Here is a 19776-nt window from a genome sequence, read left to right as displayed (position 1 = left end):
TCCTCGGAAGGAACCAGCCCTGCCAACACCTTAACACCTTGCTCTGGGACTTCCAGCCTCCAGAGCTGCAAGACAATACATTTCTGCTGTTTAAGCTGCCAGGCTGTGGTACTCTGTGACAGCAGTCCTAGCAAACTCTTACATGGTCCTTCCTGAGATTCCTAAACCTGGCTTCTCTTACTGATTTTGGCCCACGCTTGGCTTCCCAAAGAAGGCAGGAGACAGTCCTTGCTGCAGGTGGTTCACAGCAGGGCTAAGATGAGGAATCCCCGCAGCCTCCCTGTGGGGTTTAGACAGAAAGGGCATTGAGGGCTAGAAGCCTGGAAGGATAGAAAGCCTGTGTCCTTGCCTGCCCCCTGCACAGTGATTGAGGATGGAAACCCAGGACACATGTTGGTGCAGGGCACAGAGCAGAGCCGGCTGGGGCAGCAGGCCCCGTCAATACCCAAGCTCAGCCATCCCTGCACAGCCTCACCCACCCTGACCAGGACTCCGCTGGGCAGCCCAGTGCTCATGCCTCATCTCGCTTAGGAGTTCTGGCAGCTCCCACCCGCTTTGGGAAATTCAAACACCTGCGAGAGCAGAAACACAGCTCAGATCCCAGCATACCTGCCGTCAAGAGTCTCCCAAGCAGCCAGGTGGGGACGCCGCATCTGCAAAGACGGGAGGTGAGCACAGCTGCCTGGCCACCTTGTCCCTGTGTGGCTCTGCCCTAAGGAGCAGGGTCCTGCGGCTGCCCATCTCGCATGAGAGCAGCAGCGGGGGCTTCCCCCACCTGGCAGACCCCTAAGTGGGACCTGGACGCAGGCCAGTCCTGAAGCCATTCCTCTCTTCCTCAACAACAATCACTGTCTAACCTCCGTGGAGGTCTTCTCCTTCCTCTGGGACCCACTCATCAGCAGCCTGAGCCCCTCACGCCCATGTTTGCTATAAATTCTGAGAGCCAGAGCGTGGGAGGAGGAGGAGAAAGCAGAGTGGAATCTCTCCACAGGGAAGACATCCTCGGACGCTCTGGGCCAGCAGCCAGGCTCCAGCCCGGAGGGAGAGGACTGCCCTTTGTGCCTGGATCGGGCCTCCCACTCAGAGCCAGAGTGAGTTAGACCGGTATCCTCCGGATGCCTGAATCTCAGCACTCAGGCATCTCCTCAGGAAATATTTTCACCTGGGGACCCACCACACAAGGACTGTGTCACATGGTCAGGCTGCTGGAAATAATTCAAAAGAATGTGATTTTTGAATGCATAGAAAATGTTCACAAGTGCACTTCCGCAGCCTTTGAGGGCCTCTGTGGATTCTCCAAGGAGCTGGCCTGGAGCGCCCACAGAGCTGCTGTGGGGCTGTACATCAACCTCACACAAAGGGACAGGAACCCTACAGGCCCCCGCGGGGGCACTGGCCTCGGGGTCTCTGCCGCTGCACCCAGGGCTTCACTGCCCCCTCCCTCCCGACCTCAGCTGGAAGCGCAGTGTGGGCTGCGAGGTATGGAAATGAGCTTTCCTTCTCCCTTTCATCTCAGCCAACGTCACTGTGATGCTGCTCTGACGTTCCTACCTTGAGTTAACCTTGGCGCCATCTGCACAGAAGTTCCCTTAGTCTTTGTCCTTCCATGTGAGGGACACCTCTGCCTCACAGTCCCCTGCCACATCTTCCTGGTATTCACACCTATGTATTTTCAACATTCGAAAATACATATGCATCATCATTTCCAAAAGAGGCATCTCACTCTTCCTAATCCCTCGCGTAAACTGACCCCTGTTGAGAGCACACCCCTGGAAAGGGGCAGAATGGGGCTGTAAATTTAGTTTGCTGTCACCTCTGCCGTCACGACGGCCTCCTGGGCTTGGTAACTGTCTGGGACTCATATGTTCTCACGCCTCGTTTTTGTTGTGGCTGCTTTTAATTATAGGCACTTCCACTAAAATAAATCACTGTTCGAAATCCCAGCCGGGAATGCAATTTTTTTCTCTGTAGCTAGACTGAGCCGAACCACATTTGGGCAAGAAAGGCAGAGGCTCCAAACGAATCCGCTACGAGGGAGTGGCCACTGCTCGCTGCCATCAGCTTTCATCTGTTCACTGGGGAGGGCGGGGGCTGGGGTTCTGGGCGGAGTCACCAGCCTCATTCTTCTGCAATTTCGCAGAAACAGGCTGCTGAAGCCCATGACGCTTGTCCATATCAGGGGCCCAAGCCCCCCTTCACTTTGCGTGGGGCTGCCTCTCTTTTTAGAGTCGGCAGTGCCCTTCACACTTTTTCCTATGTTATTCCGCAATTAATATCAACAAGTAAGTCTTCTTAAGACAGCGTGAGCGGTGTGCAAATCAGCCACCATAACTCGTGCCTCGCCCTTCTCTCCACATCAGGCAAGCCACTGTCTGAGTGGACGTGCTATGGCTCATGGGTCATAGTGACAGATACTGATTCCTGACTCCAGGAGCGCTCTCAGGGCTTGGGCTCCCAAGGCAGACACCGGAGGGGACACTGAAGGGGAGAAGAAGGACATTGTGATCGCCAGGAAGGGGATGAAAATGGAGATAGACAGGGGAAAGCTTTGGACAGAGAACCAGGAGAAGAAGCATGGGGAAAAGGCAGGCCTGCATGAGACCCCTGCCATTAAAAAGTACTCCACACGGCCGGCGCGGTGGCTCACGCCTGTAATCCCAGCACTTTGGGAGACCAAGGTGGGCGGATCACGAGTTCAGGAGATCGAGACCATCCTGGCTAACATGGTGAAACCCCGTCGCTACTAAAAATACAAAAAATTAGCTGGGCGTGGTGGCTGGCGCATGTAGTCCCAGCTACTCGGGAGGCTGAGGCAGGAGAATGGCGTGAACCAGTGAGCTGAGATCGCGCCACTGCACTCCAGCCTGGGCGACAGAGCGAGACTCCGTCTCAAAAAAAAAAAAAAAAAAAAAAAAGTACTCCACACATGTGGTTTCATTCACCCAACACAAACCAGGAGTGCTGAGGGACACAGGCAGAAGGGATTCCATCCGAGACAGGGAATGGCTTGTCTCCTATGGCCCGGGGCTCTCCAACGCGCTGGCCTCCACTCCTGCCAGGTTCCTGGGCTTTTATTTTCCAATGCTGGGTTGTAGCTCCATCTCTCCTGCAGGCTACTGTGGTTGACGATTTCTCCCTGGAAGCTGAGCAAAAGCCAATGAGGCTGTCCTATTTCCTGATGTGCGGGCTCCCAGCTGGCCTGGAGGCAGGAATCATGGGCATCCTCCCTCGACTGATGGAGACCTGAGGCTCAGAGTGGGCTGTGCCCCTCGGATGCCCCACCGGGAAGAGCCGGCACACATCCTGCTTCCCGGTCCTGGGCTCTCTGGGCATCAGGGCCTAGCTGCTCCCATCCACGTGGGAGTCAGGTGCTGTTCTAAGTGTCCCCACTTTATGGATGAGGAGACTGAGGCCCCAGAGGGTTTGTGGAACTTCCCCGGGTCCCACAGTGAGTGGGTGTCAGGTAGGTGGTGGACGCCCTCCCACTCCTCACTCTCAGCCCCTCCGCCTCCCCTCACCATGGAAGTGGAGGATTCTCACTCTAAAGTGAAAGGGCCCAGCTGTGGCTCAGGCGTGACCCGATGGCAGGTCCTTCCATCACTTTCTGCACTGCCCTGGTGGTCTTCCTGGCGCAGCCAAGCCGATGCGAAGCTGGCATCAACCCTGGAGAGACACTTGGCTTCAAGACTCCTGGAAGCTCCTGGCAACTCCCACTCCTGCTGAGTCATTTGTGCCCCTCCAAGCACCCACTGAGGCAGGGCCGGTCGGACACTGGTCAGGGTGTCTGGGCAGGGCTAGGGCAGCTGATGAGACCTCAATTTGCATCTCTAGCAGGCCCAGGCCAAGCAGCTGAGTCACTGGAGAAGCCGGGTGCATCACAGAGCAGGTGCCTGTGTGGGGACACAGGGTCCCAGTCCTGTGTCATTGGCTGAGATGCAGGCCAGTGTGTCTCTGGAGGGACAACTGGGCCATTTCTCAACAAGAAGGGGCTCTCTGCTTCCCAACATGTTGCAGTTCCTGAGGAGCTTTCCAGTTTCCTGGCATTCTCCTCCCATCCTTGGTAGCACAACAGTCCCACCTGCCCTTGGCCCTGCCCCGCACATGCTCCCTCTGTCCCTCCTTGAGCCATGTAAGTCTTTCCAGGAGGAAAAGGCTATGGAGTCTTAATAGGGCCTGTGCCTACCAGAGCCAGTGCACGCTGCTTCTGGAACTTTCTGTAGAGTTCAGAGCCCCAGAATCCCTCTTTCAAATAGCCCTGGGTCCTTCCAGTCTTTTTCCCTAGCTGGGTGGTCCCAGCCGAACTTCCCCACCAGCAGTATGCCCTCTAGCCCCTGAGGTAATAGCGTGGACGGCATGAAGGCCGGCAGGTGGGGCAGCCCCACTCAAGAGCACAGGCTCCAGGCTGGGGTGGGCCACAAAGCTGGCCCAGCTGCCAGCTGCCACCCCAGCCCACTTCCCCATTCTGGGAAGTCACAGAATCCCACCTTCACATTGGCCTCTGGTTCTCAGGAAGGAGAGACCACATCATATTCAGCAGTTGCTCACTCTAGTTGTCAACTTCACTGACTTAGGACCCTGGCACATGGTCCCAGAACCTCAGCTGTGCTTGGGGCCCCAGGGCCCACAAGCACAGGCCTGCCCTGTCAACCCCAGCCAGACTCTCACAGCATTCCGTGAAGTTTGTAAAGCAGCGAAAACTCCAGTATCCACTCAGAATGGACATTCTGCAATTGACTACACCGGAGGCAGCTCATTGCTCGGGAATACACATTCCCAGCCCCGAGGGGTCCTTGCAGGAACCCCAGTGCCCCATGGTGACCTCCTTTCAGTGTTCTGGTTTTCTTTCAAACTCAGAAAGACCTGGCTTGTTTAATATGGTTCAAAGGGGTGATTTTTTTTTCTTTCTCTCAAAATCCCATTTGGAGGGTTAGTCAAGAGAAAAGGCACCATTTGGCTTTTTAAGGACAGTGTGATTTTTCCACAGTCATGGGTCCACACAGAAAGCAGAGCCTGGCTCACTGTCCACCTCTTGGGATGATGTTGGTTTGCACACTCCTCCTGCATGCTGGCCATCTGCCCTCCAGGCTGGGGGTGCAGAGAGTGCCAGGGTCCCCAGGAGCCACAGAGACCGGGGAGAGCAGGGCCACAGCAGGCCCTGGAGGGCAGCCGAGGCTCCACTGGCAGAGGGAGGAGTTGTTGTGGCTTCCAAGGAATGTGAAGTTGGGCTGTGAGGAGGCGGCCCAGAGAGCACTGGGATTAAGGCAGATAGGAAGGAGCAGGGCCTGGGATGTTCGGGAGATAGCAGATGAGACAGGACATGATCATGGGGACCAGCCAGGGTGGCTTTGAACCCCTGAAGATGTTTGGACTCAGAAAGCTGTGATGCGGGTGCAACACGCAGGGTAGATATCATCGCAGGGATGGCTTCTTACACGGTGTGGGCTGACATGAAGCAGGACCAATAGGGGCAGGGTGAGGAGAGAAAGGCATGAAGGAGATCCCCAGGCGCAACATGAGCGTGTCCAAGGCCCCCAGAGCCAGACACTCCAGGAGGCCCTTCCTGGGGCCCCTTCCTGCATCCTCACAACTCTAAAAGCTATGTGCTTGACCATCATGTTAGAGACCAGGACACAGATATATAAAAGTCAAGTAAAACAGAGACATATAGAGGCCAGAGAAAACTCAGAATTTGTGCATGGGTCTGTCTGACCCCAAAGATGATGTCCCATCCATTATTGCATAGTAAGGTATTAGAAATGGAAAAGAGAAAAAAAAAACGTAAATCTACAGTAAGTTCTCACTTAACCTCGTCCATAGGTTATTGGAAATTGGGACTTTAAGCAAAATGACATATAACAAAATCAATTTTACAATAAGTAATTGATGTAAACAAGAGTTGAGATGGCATACTTCTGATCACAAAAAAACTACCAAACTGCTAACTAAAGACCCAAAACATGTCTAACGTTAAGCACTGGCATAAATGTGAGCTACGCATACGTTTAAGAAAGATTAATGAAAACAAGTAGGAGAATTATTTACTCAATTTTTGGTGAACCGGTGAGTGGCGGCAGCCATAGTCCTGCTGCGGTAGATCCAGCAATGAGTGTTTGCAAAGAGAACAGCGCCAGGAACCCCCTGCCATCGTGCAGCTCAAACACAAACAGTCACAGACGTGGGGGCTCACCCAGCGCCCTCTCGTACTGCATGGTATATTGTTGCACATTTGAATGATTATCGTAGAGTTTATGGGTTTTTATTTTACAATAATTTTCATTCATTCATTCATTCATTCAATTTTCCAACCCACTTACTGCAATTTAGGGTGGTGGGTGGCAAGAACCTATTCCAGCAGCTCAGGGTGCAAAGCGGGCACCAGCCTGGACAGGACGTTGTCCCATCACAGGGCAGCTCAGATGCAGCCATGTAGAGACCAGACGGAGACTAGAGAGTCATGCCAGTTCGCCCAACGGGCACAGCTTTCTATGTGGAAGGAAACCAGAGTACATGGGGAAACCCCACACAGACCTGGGGAGAGTGTGCCAACTCTGCCGGTGGTGGCCCCGGCCAGAACTGAGTTTTCCCTCGACAACATTATTGCAAAACGTTGAACTAAATGTCGTTCCTCAAGGACCTGCTGTATAAGACTGGGTGGTAAATTAATCTGGAGGGCAAGAAAAAGAAGGAAAATAAAAATGACTATAGCTTAGAAAATCAATGTATAAAAACAGGGATGTTAAGGGGTGAGGGTTCCTCCGGGAAAAGATGAGAAGTGGAGCAGCTGAGCCGGGCTGGGCAGGGGATGCCGCAGGTGCCTCTCCATGGGTCAGGAAATGTGGCACGTGGGGTCAGGGGCTGCAGGTGAGAATTGAGATCACAAACCAAAGGTACCGGAGAAGTGTCTCAGAGTCTGGGACACAAGATACACTTTCCAGAAGGAGGAAGCAGTCATAGTATCTATCCAACACCTCAGATGTCAGGAAAATGAAAATAAAAAATCCCTAATTGGGTGATTTTTCTTTAACCTGAGTAAAAAGACTCCAGGATTATCCAAAAAAAGTTAATTAAAACTGGACTTGTACATCATGGAGAAAACCAACAAAGCAAGTGTTGATTCTGAATATCACCCTTGTAGACGCTTCCCCTCTGGGATCGGTGGGCCTCCTCCAACCCACCAATCTTTTTGATTATGAGCTGGACTTAGTGACTCACTTCCAAATAACAGTATGGAAGGGAAAAATCAGGGTTTAAGGGTCTTAATTTCACTACCTCTCTTGTCTCCTTATCCTTGGGGAGGTCTTCATTCCACATATGAGCCGGCAACCACCCACATTTGATAGGTGAGCTGAGGCTATTTCATGTGACAAGCTGTTTCAATGTCTCATCCCTTACCAATGAGCAGGTCCCAGGACCAATGAGCTTACCTGGGAAGCAGGTCCCAGGACCAGGTGTTTCTAGGAACCGATCGATATGTGGAGCAGTATAGCTGGAGCTCAGCTTCACTGAACTAAGACCAACCAAGCAAATGCATTCCAATAAAAACACAGGATCACAGAGTGACGCCCAGCTGCTGGAGAAATTCCGACCCCCAGAGCAGGAACTAAGCCAAATAAAGTGTCTTGGTGGCATCCCCAGTATGCCAAGAAAGTCTATCTACTGATGGATCAGCACAGCGTTTGATCCTGTCATTGTCCACTTCAGTGATGTTAGAAACAACCACAGATGGACGCGAGACTGTCACTTGCTACGGCATCTCCAGCTGTTCACTGGGTTCAACTACAAATTCCAGTGACATTTTAGCAAATGGCTTTAAAATACATCCTTCACAACTGAATTGCATCTTTCTTTTCTGACGGCTGCATATAATCCGAGCATCCAGCATCCTAAATATTAAGTCGCTAAAGAAATGCTTCCCAGTCTGCTTTTCACAGATGCTCTGTTTCTCTTTGCACCAGGAAAGTAGGCTTCCAGGTAGATATTAATCAAGTATAATAAACTGGAATGGAATCAGGCAAGCTTATAGGGCAGTAGACTCATGTGGGCATGTTTTCCAGTAACTGTGTCTTGAATAAAATTATACACTTTGAGCACACCCCTTTCTGATGCCGTTTCTTCATCCAAGAGCAAATGATGTCTTGAGTTTTGAGTTTTGCCAGGTTCTCTACTTCTTTGGGGTGTGGCAGAGTGCAGAAGAGGCATTATTAGAGACTAAACCTTTGTTTCCTTTAGTTCAAGCTCCTTGGAGAAACCAAGCAGGAAGATGGAAGGCATAGCTCCAGCCTCCATATCCATGATTGGATTCCCTTGCAAGCAGCAACTTCTAAAGTTCTAAAATAGCTTGCTAGTTGCACTGTTTATTTAAGCAAGCATTTCCTAGACTTGTCTGATCATGAAAATCACCTGAGAATATTTTCAGATTCAGAATCGCAGGCCTTGTATGACAGACGCTGACTTAGAGTTTTAGCATCAGCTGGAACCTGTGATCACATGAGTTTGGAAATTTAAGTTATGGCTTTTGTATTTGGAGGAAGAGCTACCATGCTGAAGAGCAGATACCCAAGAACTTACTAAAGATTATTTCCACATATTGTTGTGCTGGAAGTCTAGTAGGTATAAAAAGCACTAAGGAACAAAATAGAATCAAACCATCTTCTGTTGTTCTTTATGTATAAAAGATACCGTGTGGCCCAGTGACACTTCACCAGCATCCCAGAGAACAGGTAGGGTGTACAGTGAAAAGCAGTGACCAGGATGGAAAAGAGAACCAAACAAAAGCAGATGGAGTACGGAAAAGGGGGCCTGTGTTTCCCCAAGTGATTGTAAGATTCTGTGCTGATCCCCCACAACGGCACCAGCACTAACGTCCATACTGCTTACCCTCCTGTGGGACTGTCCTGTGAAGAATAGTCTAATGGAATCAATGGAAATGGAAGCCGATTGTCTGATAATGATTATTGAACTATACCTATCTGGTCATTCTGATTATTCAAAAAATATTTACAACACCCTTCCCGTATGCCAGGCTTCCTACTAGGAACTGGGGAAATACAGTGAACAAAATATCCAGCACACTTGCCTCGTGGAGAGCCATTCATTGAATATACCTGATGCATTTGTTCTTGATAAATAATGAAGATCTGTTATAACAGCTGGGAAGGGAAAGTGGGAATTGCTAAGAGATAATGTACCAGGGGACCCTAATTAAGGAGGCTCCAAAATCCCAGCATGGATCTGTGGGATGGGCAGGAGGAGGCACAGAGTAGGGAGGGTGGGGCCTTCCAGACAAGGAAGCCCCATTAGAGAGTCTTTATTTAATAGCTGTAATTTCTCAGCATTTAACATTGCACATTCATACTAAAAGCTTGTGTGCGTGGATTGAGAGAAGCTCTGTTTTCAATTCTCTTCTTTATATCACATCACACTGACTCCATAGCCCCTCTCTATCTCTGCCCTGGTTTTGCAGAGCTGAGGGCTCCACCACAGAGGTATTTTTTTTAAGTAGCTGATGCAATATCCCATATTTGTTCAAAATACATACCTTCCTCCAGTCACACACAGGGGCGTCTGAATCCGTTCCTCTCTTAAAGTCTGCATTTCTGCTAGATATTGCAATAAAACCTTTTTGATTGTCAAGAATTTAGAAAATGCAAATAAACTAAGACAAGTCAAAATGCCTTTAAAAATAATAATAGCTAACCGTTACTGATATGTGCTGAGTGCTGCATTATCTCATTTAACCCTCATGTCAAGTCTGCAAAGCAGAGAGGACAAGTAGCTTGCCCAGGGTCACACAGCTAGAAGTGACTGAGCCACTCTGAACCAGGCTCCAGCACTGGGGTTGTGCCCTCCTGTGCTACCTGGACATGACCACCATTAGCACATTTTTAAACGAGTGCTGCTCTTCCAGCCTTTTCCCGTATGTATTTTTCACAAAAAAATGAGATATTACATATGCTGCTTTTTGAGGTGAACTTTGCGTAACATAAAATTAACCATTTTAAAGTGAAAAATTCAGTGGCATTTAGTACATTTTTTATGCAACCCACACCTCTATTTCCAAAACATTTTCATCACTTCCAAGTAAAATCCCTTACCCATTAAGTAGTTTCTCCCCATTCTTCCCCCACACTAGCCTCTGGCCTCCACCAATCTGCAATCTGTCTCCACGGACCTACCTATTCTGGCTATTTCGCATAAAGAGAATCATACAATAAGTGACATTTTATGTCTTACTTCTTTCCCTTAGCATAATGTCGTGTAGATTCATTCATGCTGTAGCATGGATCAGTACTTTATTCCATTTTATAGCTAACTAATATACCATTTTATGACCATACCACAGTTTATCTGTTCATGGACATTTCGGCTGTTGCTGTCTTTTGGTTATTACACATGAACTTATGGTTATAGACATGTACTTGTTGAGTGTTTATTTTCGGTTATTTTAAATCTACACCTAGGAGTGAAATTGTAGGGTCATATGGTAATTTTATGTTTAACTTTTGAAGAATCACCAAACTGTTTTCCAAAGAGGCTAAACCATTTTATAGTCCCACTAACAATGTGCAAGGGTTACAATTTCTCCACATTCTCACCAACACTTGTTATTTTCCTTTAAAAAAAAATATGATCATGCTAGAGGGTATATAGTGATAACTCGTTCTGGTTCCGATTTGCATTTCCCCGATGAAAAATGATGTTGGCTATCCTTCCATGTGGTTTTGGCATGTGTATGTTTTCTTTGGAGAAATGTCTGTTTGAGTCCTTCTCCATTTTTTTTTAATTGGTTTGTTTGTCTTCTTGTTGTTGACTTCTAAGTGTTCTTTATATATTCTGGATGCTAGGTCCTTATCAAATAGATGATTTGTAAATAGTTGCCTCCATTCCATACATTGCCTTTTCACTCTTTCATAATGTGCTTTGATACACGGTTTTTACTTTTGATAAAGTTCAATTTATCTATCTTTCTTGTTGTTCATGCCAAATCTAAAATTATGAAGATTTACCCTTAAGTTTTCTTCTAAGATTTTTATGGTTTTAGCTTTGATATTTAGGTAACTGATCCATTTTGAGTTAGTTTTTGTATACGGAGTGAAGTAGGGGTCCAGCTACATTCTTTTGCTTGTGGATATCCAGTTGTCCCAGCCCAACTTATTGAAGAAACTGCTATTTCTCCATTGAATGTTCTTGGAACCTTTGTTGAAAATCAATCAGCCATAGACATATGGCTTTGTTTCTGGACTCTCAATCCTATTCCATTGGTCTATATGTCTATTTTTATACCAATATCACTCTGTTTTGATTACTAAAGCTGCATATACTGCTTTTGAAACTTTTTTGTTTTACTTAATAAGTGAAACAACTTCTGCAAGACTTAACATCCCAATAAGCGAGACGTTTTATGTTTAGCTTTTCCATATTTCTTTGTTATCAACAGCACCATTGTAAACACATTTGTAGCTTAATGAATTAGCTGACCTACAATTATTCCTCAGATAACTTCCTAGAAGTGGAATCACTGGATCAAAATATATCCAAAATTCCCAGACTTTTGTAGCTGCTGCCAAATTCCCTTCCAGAACAGCTCTGGCAAGTTTATCCTCTCTCCAGCCTGGAAGAGCCTGCCCGGTTCCTGCACTCCCTTCTCTCTTTACCCAAGTTGTACCCCATGAATAATTGTGTCTACTCTCCTTCTATCTACAACTTTGTTGAATATCAACTCTCCTTCTTTTCACTGTTTTAAAATTAATTGAACATCAGAAATTGTAATGCTATCATTTTTCCTTCTTCATCCCAAAGATTAAAAAAGGTTAGCTCAGACCGGGTGTGGTGGCTCATGCCTGTAATCCCAGCACTTTGGGAGGCCAAGGCAGGTGGATCACCTGAGGTCAGGAGTTCGAGACCAGCCTGGACAGCATGGCAAAACCCCGTCTCTACTAAAAATACAAAAATTAACCGGGCATGGTGGTGCGTGCCTGTAATCCCAGCTACTCAGGAGGCAGAGGCAGGAGAATCGCTTGAACCCAGGAGGTGGAGGTTGCAGTGAGCTGGGATTGCACCACTGCACTCCAGCCTGAATGACAGCAAGACTACATCTTCCCCACCCCCAACAGAAAAAAAAGATAAGCTCTGTTGAAAAAACCTGAAAACCCTGTTCCTAATGTGAGGATGCAGTCAGGACTCTGCTGCGTGGTGAGTGTGTGGCTTTTGGCCGTTAACTCCATGGGGTCCTGCACCCTGATAGAGCAATATAACAACATACTCTCTTGGCAATTACCTTTAGCATAGAGATGGTGCAGTGGTGAAGACTGGCAACAGATATCCAATGTAAACAAAGCTACTAGTCTCCAAACTAAGTCATGCTGGTTAGCAAAGGCCCTCCAGGCCCACTGGGTAGGAATGACAGGACAGAGAGAAGGAATGCTTCATTTGACTTGGGAGACAGCCCTTCCTCCCTGCACCCTTGAAACAAAACCATTCTGAAAATTTCTCCACTGTGGCTGACATGTCATCGAAGCCACATAGACTGTGAAGTTTCACTGAGATGGAAACGTCTTCCTTTGCCTGTGAACTCAGCGTGGGGACTCGCAAACAGCACAAGAGGGAATCGAAGGCAGGGCCCTTGCCATGCAGAATGCGGAAAACAATAGAATCTCCCCACTTGAAACGTCTCTGACTCTGAGACGGGTGTTGCAGCTCAGGAGCTACCAACAGAGTTTTCTCACCAAGGGCCTTTCGCCAAACAGAAGCATGCTAAAATACTTCTTTTTCTAGGGTCAAAGGACAGAAAAGTAAAGGGTACCAGGAAGCCAGTTTTGTAGTTGAGTCATGAACAACCCCTAAGAAGAAACCAACCGAAGTTGGACTGAGGGGAGTCTGGAATCTGGCATTACTGCTCCCACTCCCCACCCTACACGGTGCAGAGCCCATTCGCCTTCTTAGGGAACCCTGCGCGCGGTACTCCAGGCAGCTGCCCCTGCCATTCCCAGAGGGCAGGAGAGGAGCCCAGTACGTCCTGTCTGGGCTGAATGCTGCCGTCTCCAGGCCAGGCAGGGTTGAGTCTCTCCTTTATGGCTTCTTGTCTCTCTCTCCTCTGACCACTTTCCCAAAAACGGACACATGAGAATGAGAAAGCAGAGGTTGAAAGAAGTGCTGGGAAGTCTTGGTCTATTTCTTTGCATGATGATCCCACTGGGGAGAAGGTGAGAAGAGGCCAGGTAGGTAGGAGAGTTTCCCACCCAGAAGGGAGGCTGCATATTTGAGTCAAGCAGACACTTACTTGCTGGAGGAGCCCTGGTTCCAGCTGAGCCATCAGTACCAGAGGCATCTCAGAGGAAAGAGACCCTGAAACGTACATATACTTTCATACCCATTAAAGGACCATAATTCATTCCTTTTTATGGCTGAGTAGTATTCCATTGTGTATATATATGTGTGTGTGTGTGTGTATATATATATATATATATATATATATATATATATCTCACAGTTTTTTTATCCACATTTGCAGTGACCTGGATGAGATTGGAGACTATTATTCTAAGTATAACTCAGGAATGGAAAAACCAAACGTTGTATGTTCTCACTGATATGTGGGAGCTAAGCTATGAGGACGCAAAGGCATAAGAATGATACAATGGACTTTGGGGACTTAGGGGGAAGTGAGAGAGGGGGGCAAGGGATAGAAGACTACAAATTGGGTGCAGTGTATACTGCTTGGGTGATGGATGCACCAAGATCTCTCAAATCACCACCAAAGAACTTACTCATCCATCCAAATAGCACCTGCACCCCAATAACTTACGGAAAAATAAAATTAAAAACTGGAAAAAAGAAAACACATATAAAGTGCTGACAGCAAGGACTGGCCTGTGGGAGGGACTGGTGATGTGCCTCCTTTGCCAAGAGATGGTTAATTTTGCGGGGGGGAGGGGGGAGGGAAGGACATTACCCGGAGCGCATGAGAAACTGGAAACAAGGAGAAATGTAAAAGATGCCAGGATCGAACAGGATTAAAAAATATGCTAGAGAGAGTGATAGAAGGAGAAGTCTGTGATGAAGTCAGCAAATAAGGTAAGTAGAAATAAATAGAGACACAACTTTCCATTTTTACTTTAACTTTACCAGGCATTTTAAATATGATCATCTCATAATCTCCTAAGTATACCACAGGGAAAGACAGCATCTGGTATGCTTTTATAATGAAACAGTGTGGTAGAGCCACCCATGGCCTGAGCAAGGACACAGAGCTCTTTAGTGGTAGAAGGTAGACTTAACCCAGGTCTCCTCACTCTTGCTGGCTCATGGGCTAATGTGAAAAAGACAAGGACACACAAACATTTAAGAGCCCGGATGTGAAGCAGAGCAGAGGGAGGTGGCTGAGTGACTTGCAGCAGAGGCAGTGTTTACACATCACAGAAGGAAATGAATGGGAAAGACTCTCCTGGAAAGGAGTCAAAACAGGAAAGTTTGGGGTGGGAAAACAGAGCTGGATTTCACAGCAGTTCCCAGGCTGCATGGGGGTGAGGAAAGATAACAGCTGATGAAGGGGAACATAGTTCAGAATGAGTTGGTTGAAAGCACAGATATCAAAAGTCAAAAGGAGAACAGCACACACAGCAGGTAATAAGGAAAACTGCCAAAGCGACCACGTGAAGGAGAGATAGCTTTATGGAAGAGAACTGTGCAGAACCCCCACCCCCACCCCCACCCTCACAGACTCATCATGCAAAACACCACCGCAGAGGAAAACGTTAATTGCACATTGAAACGTGTAATGGCACCCTTAGCATTACCTGGCAGAGGCAACGCTCACATCAAAGACTTTGATTAAAATTGTATAATGCTGGGTTAAATGATTCTGCTGGTAGCCCTTATTTTCCTATTTGAACTTCCTGCCAGGGAGGTTTGGAAAAAGGGCATGGAAAGATTTCTACATAGACAGTCAACCTAAAATGGAAAGATTTCTACATAGACAGTCAACCTAAAATGAGTACCAGACCAACTTTCCAAGCAGAAAGTTTATTTGGAAATAGTGGAGGGAGCCACAACTTGGGATGTGCATTCTACGATGATCACAGTCCTAGCAAGGGGGCCGGGACAAAGGGGAAGCTTTTATGGACAAAAGGAAGCCCACACAAGCTGTTTTGAAACAAAGTCCACAGGTCACAGAGGCTCAGTGTAGGAATCGGTGCTGTTCATTGCTCACTGTTCCTTTCTTGGTGGAGACACCGCTGCTGGGGTCAGTGTCCTTCAGCAGGTGGCCTGTCCAGAGTCCTGAAGTCTTCAGGAGGCTCTTGAGAAAGGTTCTGCTAAAAGGCATGGGCCACATGTGGCGTGTGGGACGGCAGGCTTTTCTTGTGATGAGGCAGGTTCCAGGCAGGTGCCTGGGAGCTCCCTCTTGCACCCTCTCTCCACTCCAGTTTGTTATAAGCAGCTCTATTTTGGTAGGGGAAACTTTCCTGAGCCTGTCTGATTGGAGAGGGCCTGCTACTCCCCATATCTTTATTTCGGAGTTTTGCGTTCAGAAAACATGATGATTCGTTTTCCTTGGAGAAATGTTGAAACCGAATGGCTTTTAGCAGCCATTAATCCCTGTGACCTCATTCACTCTTCTCTTCAAAGAGGGCAACAACCAGAAACAGATTTCAAATGAAAACTCCTCTAATGAGCAGTGACAGACGGGTAATTTGGGAGTAATGAGCCCTGAGCCTGTAATCAGCCACTCGGTCCCCAGATAAGAAAATCCCAAACCCAAGCAAACACGCATCTTACCTGGCACGTTTTCCTGCTCCAGATAACCCTCTTACTCCTGTAATTTCCTTGGGCGTTATCTGTCCCCACATTCCCATCAAGCACCAGGCTTAGAGTCTGAGGAATAGAAAGTCTGTTTAATTTTATCTGATCCAGTGGTTCTCAAGCAAGAATGATTTTTGCCCCTCGCCAAGGGACATTTGGCAATGCCCGGAGAAAGACTTTAGATTATCATGATGGGGAGAGAAAGGCAGAGTGGTGCTATCGGCATCCAGTGAGTGCAGGCCAGCATGCTGCAAACATCCTATAAAGCACAGGGGAACACCCAGGACAATTATCTGGTCCAAAATGTCAATAGAGCAGCAGTTAAGAAACCGTGATTAACTGAGGGACAGGCATGAATCAGACTATTGGACACCACCTCTGCAATGAGAGGTATTTCTCACCTCAATCCTAAGCCTGTCTTCCTTCTCACAAACACAGGCTCCCAGCTTCTGCACATCTAAACATGGGTGTGTAAGGATGCCTGCTGTGGCCTTGATCTCTGCTGAGTCACAGTCTTCATGCTCATGGTGGATAAGTCAGGCCACAATTACACAGCAACATGTAGCAGGGGAGACTTCCAGAACTTCGTGCATGCGTGAGGGATAGGCGTGCTGCAAAGAATTAACCTCAGCAGAGTCACACAAGTCCATCTGGGGACAAGAATTGGAAAGGCCTACATTCGCCTCTGTACGATGTGCTCCATAACTTGATAGAAGTCAGTTACCTTCTGGCTGCCTTATCCCAATTGTCAAAAAGGATATTAAGAAAATAAAGGCCATTATTTAATCCTGGACAAGAATCTACCGAGAACATGTATTCCGGGATGTGTTCAGAAGAATGAGTTGTCTATTTTCGAAGATGTGTGGCAAAAATAACAAAAGAAAGGTATTTAATGTATCGCTATAACCAAATGGTGGAAACAGTCCCAAAGTACATCAAGCAATGATGGATAAACAAAATGCAGTAGATCCAGCTAACGGGACTTATTTTGCCATTAAAAGGAATGAAGTATTAATACATGCTGCAGCATGAAAGAAGCTTGAAGTTGCTGCGCTGAGTGAAAGAAACCCCACATCAGGGCCACGTACTGTATGATTGCACTTCCGTGAAATGTCCAGAATTCACAAGTCAATTGAGACAGGAATAGATTAGCGCTTGCCAGGGACTGGGTGGGAGAAGGAAGAGTGTCTACTGATGGGCGCATTGTTTCATTTTCGTGGGGGGTGAAATGTTCGGGATCTAGGTAGAGGTGATAGTGCACAGCGCATAGGGAAAGTATTAAAATCCAGTAGATTGTATACTGTAAGGTTGCTAACATGGTAAATTTTATGTTACATGAATTTTACCTCAATTTAAAAACATGTCTTGGCAGAAAGACAAACTTTGCATGTTCTCACTTATTTGTGGGTGATAAAAACTAAAACCACTGAACTCATGGAGATAGAGAGTAGAAGGATGGTTACCAGAGGCTGGGAAGGATGGTGGGAGAAGTGGTAGGGGGACGGTTAATGGGTACAAAAAGATAGTAAGAAAGAATGAATAAGACCTAGCATATGGGGGCACAACAGGATGACTGTAGTCAAAAATAATTGTATGTTTTAAAATTACTGATAGAGTGTAATTGGATTGTTTGTAACACAAAGGATAAATGCTTGAGCTGATGGACTCACTGTTTACCTGATAAGGTCATTATGCATTGTATGCGTATATCAAAACATCTCATGTACCCCATAAATATATATATATACCTACTATGTACCCACAAAAATTTAAAATGAATATTTTTTAAAGTTTTTTGGAAAACTTCACTTTAGAAGTCCTGATTAAATGAATTCTTTTGAATAAAAGGGAAGGGGAACTGACTTCTATTCTGGATCTACTGACTAGGAAAAACAAAGTTAAGCAAGCAGCAACAATTATCAGTACACCAGGTGTTTGTGGATGGTAAGTTCAGTAGCTTCCTTGCCTTGCAGCTCGGTGGCACCATTTTAAAATGGGATAAATGAATGTGTGCCGTTGAACAAATGCCACTCCCTGTCATTAACCAGGCACGCTCCTGCCATTCTCACTTGTTATGTCTCTGTGTAGCTTCCTCTCATTGTGACTCAGTGAGACTTGGTGTGATCATGGCCAACACCAACCTGCGGCACAGATGACCGCCTACTCCCTGGAAATCCAAGACCTTCCTCCTCGAAGTATACATCCACTTCTGGTAGTGATGTTTCCTCCAGCCCTGGAGTCAAAACCGTGTCTCTAGAGAGCCCTGGTGAAGAAGCAGAGCACAATGTCACCTGCTAGATCAGCACGTAGCATGGTGGACAGCACATGGAGCAAGTAACAGCAACTGACTTACCCAAACCTTAGTGTGCTTCCTGCAAACGCTCAGGTCAAGCTGGGAGCCGGAGTCCGTGCATGATCAGAAGACAAGAATGAAAAGGCACAGCCATTCAGAAAAGGAGGTGGTTTAAACAAAAGGAAGGTAGGAATGGGCTAGGATATTTCCAAACAAGAGATGATACACCTGGGATGATTCATTTCATTGGTTCCACCCATCTTCAGGCCCCTCCTGGATTCTTTATCCCTGGCTACATACACAGTCCTCCATCACCTGTGTTGAGAGCTGACTTTTGCCTGTACACCAACATCTCCCCTTGCTTTCTGATGCTGCCAGGAAGGGCAGGCTTCAGGCTTCCCAAATGCTCCAGCTTTCTTTGCCAGCCCCACCATTAAATTCAAAGAATCAGGGTAACCACTGACATGTGGAACATGTTTCCACCAACATGTTCTTTGCAAAAGCGGACAGACATGCCAATGGAATCTGACTTTAACACAGTTTCTCTCATTCAGTCTTGTGCCTCCAATGCACATGGACATGGTCTTGGGTTTTGGAAGGATGGGTTATTTTCTTCTTTGTTTGGACACAGGATATAAAAATCATCATAGCCAACTTGAAGCTATCCAACTATGAAGAAAAGTAATTTCCATCTTAAGATGACTCTAGATGCTCGAGTGCATTTTGTCATAAATGTTCACATACAGCTGAAGCCTTCACTGAAACTGAAAAGGAAAATAAAACTATTAAAATATAAAGGTCCAAATAACATATACCTCCTCCTAGGCTTCTCTGGTCTACATGCTTACCTGGATACACACACAGAGTTATAGACGGCTGTACACTGCACCTGGGCTGTGCTGATCACACTGTCACGTAAGCAGAGGCAGTCTATTAATGCTGAACTTATATGCTTGTGAACAGCAGTCCCCAGCCTTTTTGGCATAAGGGACCAGTTTCATGAGAGACAATTTTTCCATGGACAGAGAAGGGGGAATGGTTTCAAGATAAAACTATCCCACAAGGAGTGTGCAACCTAGATCCTTCATGCACATTTCACAGTGGGGTTTGAGCTCCTGTAAGAATGTAATGCCACCACTGATCTGACAGGAGGTGGAGCTCAGGCAGTAATGCTCACTCACCTGCCACTCACCTCCTGCTGTGTGGCCTGGTTCCTTACAGGCCATGGCCCAGTACTGGTCCATGGCCCAGGGGTTGGGACCCCTGATTAAGAGCACACAACAGGGATTATTTGCATCGAGTACACCCATCAATGGTGGAATGGATAAAGAAAATGTGGTACATATATATCATGGGATACTATGCAGCCATAAAAAAGAACAAAATCATGTCTTTTGCAGGAACATTGGTGGAGCTGGAGGCCATTATCCTTAGAAATATAATGCAGGAACAGAAAACCAAATACAGCACATTTTCACTTATAAGTAGGAGCTAAATGACGAGAACACATGGACACATGGAGGGGAACAACACACACTGGGCCTACTGGAGGATGGAAGTTGGGAGGAGGGAGAGAATAGAAATTGTTCCCGCTCGAAATTGTTCCTGTTCCTGATGTTACTTCCTCCTTAGGAACCTGAATATTTTTAAGACTGGGATCAAATATTCACTTCTTAACTGGTGGA

At 46.9% G+C, this 19776-nt stretch overlaps 3 annotated features.

Moving 5' to 3' along the window:
* Positions 363–922: an enhancer, noted in NCBI's record as "H3K4me1 hESC enhancer chr5:5573793-5574352 (GRCh37/hg19 assembly coordinates)". NCBI's record gives its function as "activates a minimal SCP1, AML or CMV promoter by ChIP-STARR-seq in naive H9 embryonic stem cells {active_cell/tissue: H9 hESC(naive)}" and the evidence as "EXISTENCE:reporter gene assay evidence [ECO:0000049][PMID:30033119]".
* Positions 3445–4084: an enhancer, noted in NCBI's record as "H3K27ac-H3K4me1 hESC enhancer chr5:5570631-5571270 (GRCh37/hg19 assembly coordinates)". NCBI's record gives its function as "activates a minimal SCP1, AML or CMV promoter by ChIP-STARR-seq in primed H9 embryonic stem cells {active_cell/tissue: H9 hESC(primed)}" and the evidence as "EXISTENCE:reporter gene assay evidence [ECO:0000049][PMID:30033119]".
* Positions 4634–5170: an enhancer, noted in NCBI's record as "H3K27ac-H3K4me1 hESC enhancer chr5:5569545-5570081 (GRCh37/hg19 assembly coordinates)". NCBI's record gives its function as "activates a minimal SCP1, AML or CMV promoter by ChIP-STARR-seq in primed H9 embryonic stem cells {active_cell/tissue: H9 hESC(primed)}" and the evidence as "EXISTENCE:reporter gene assay evidence [ECO:0000049][PMID:30033119]".

This window comes from Homo sapiens, chromosome 5 (genome assembly GCF_000001405.40).
Source record: "Homo sapiens chromosome 5, GRCh38.p14 Primary Assembly".
Classification (NCBI taxonomy): domain Eukaryota; kingdom Metazoa; phylum Chordata; class Mammalia; order Primates; family Hominidae; genus Homo; species Homo sapiens.
This window is presented reverse-complemented; position numbering and strand designations above follow the sequence as displayed.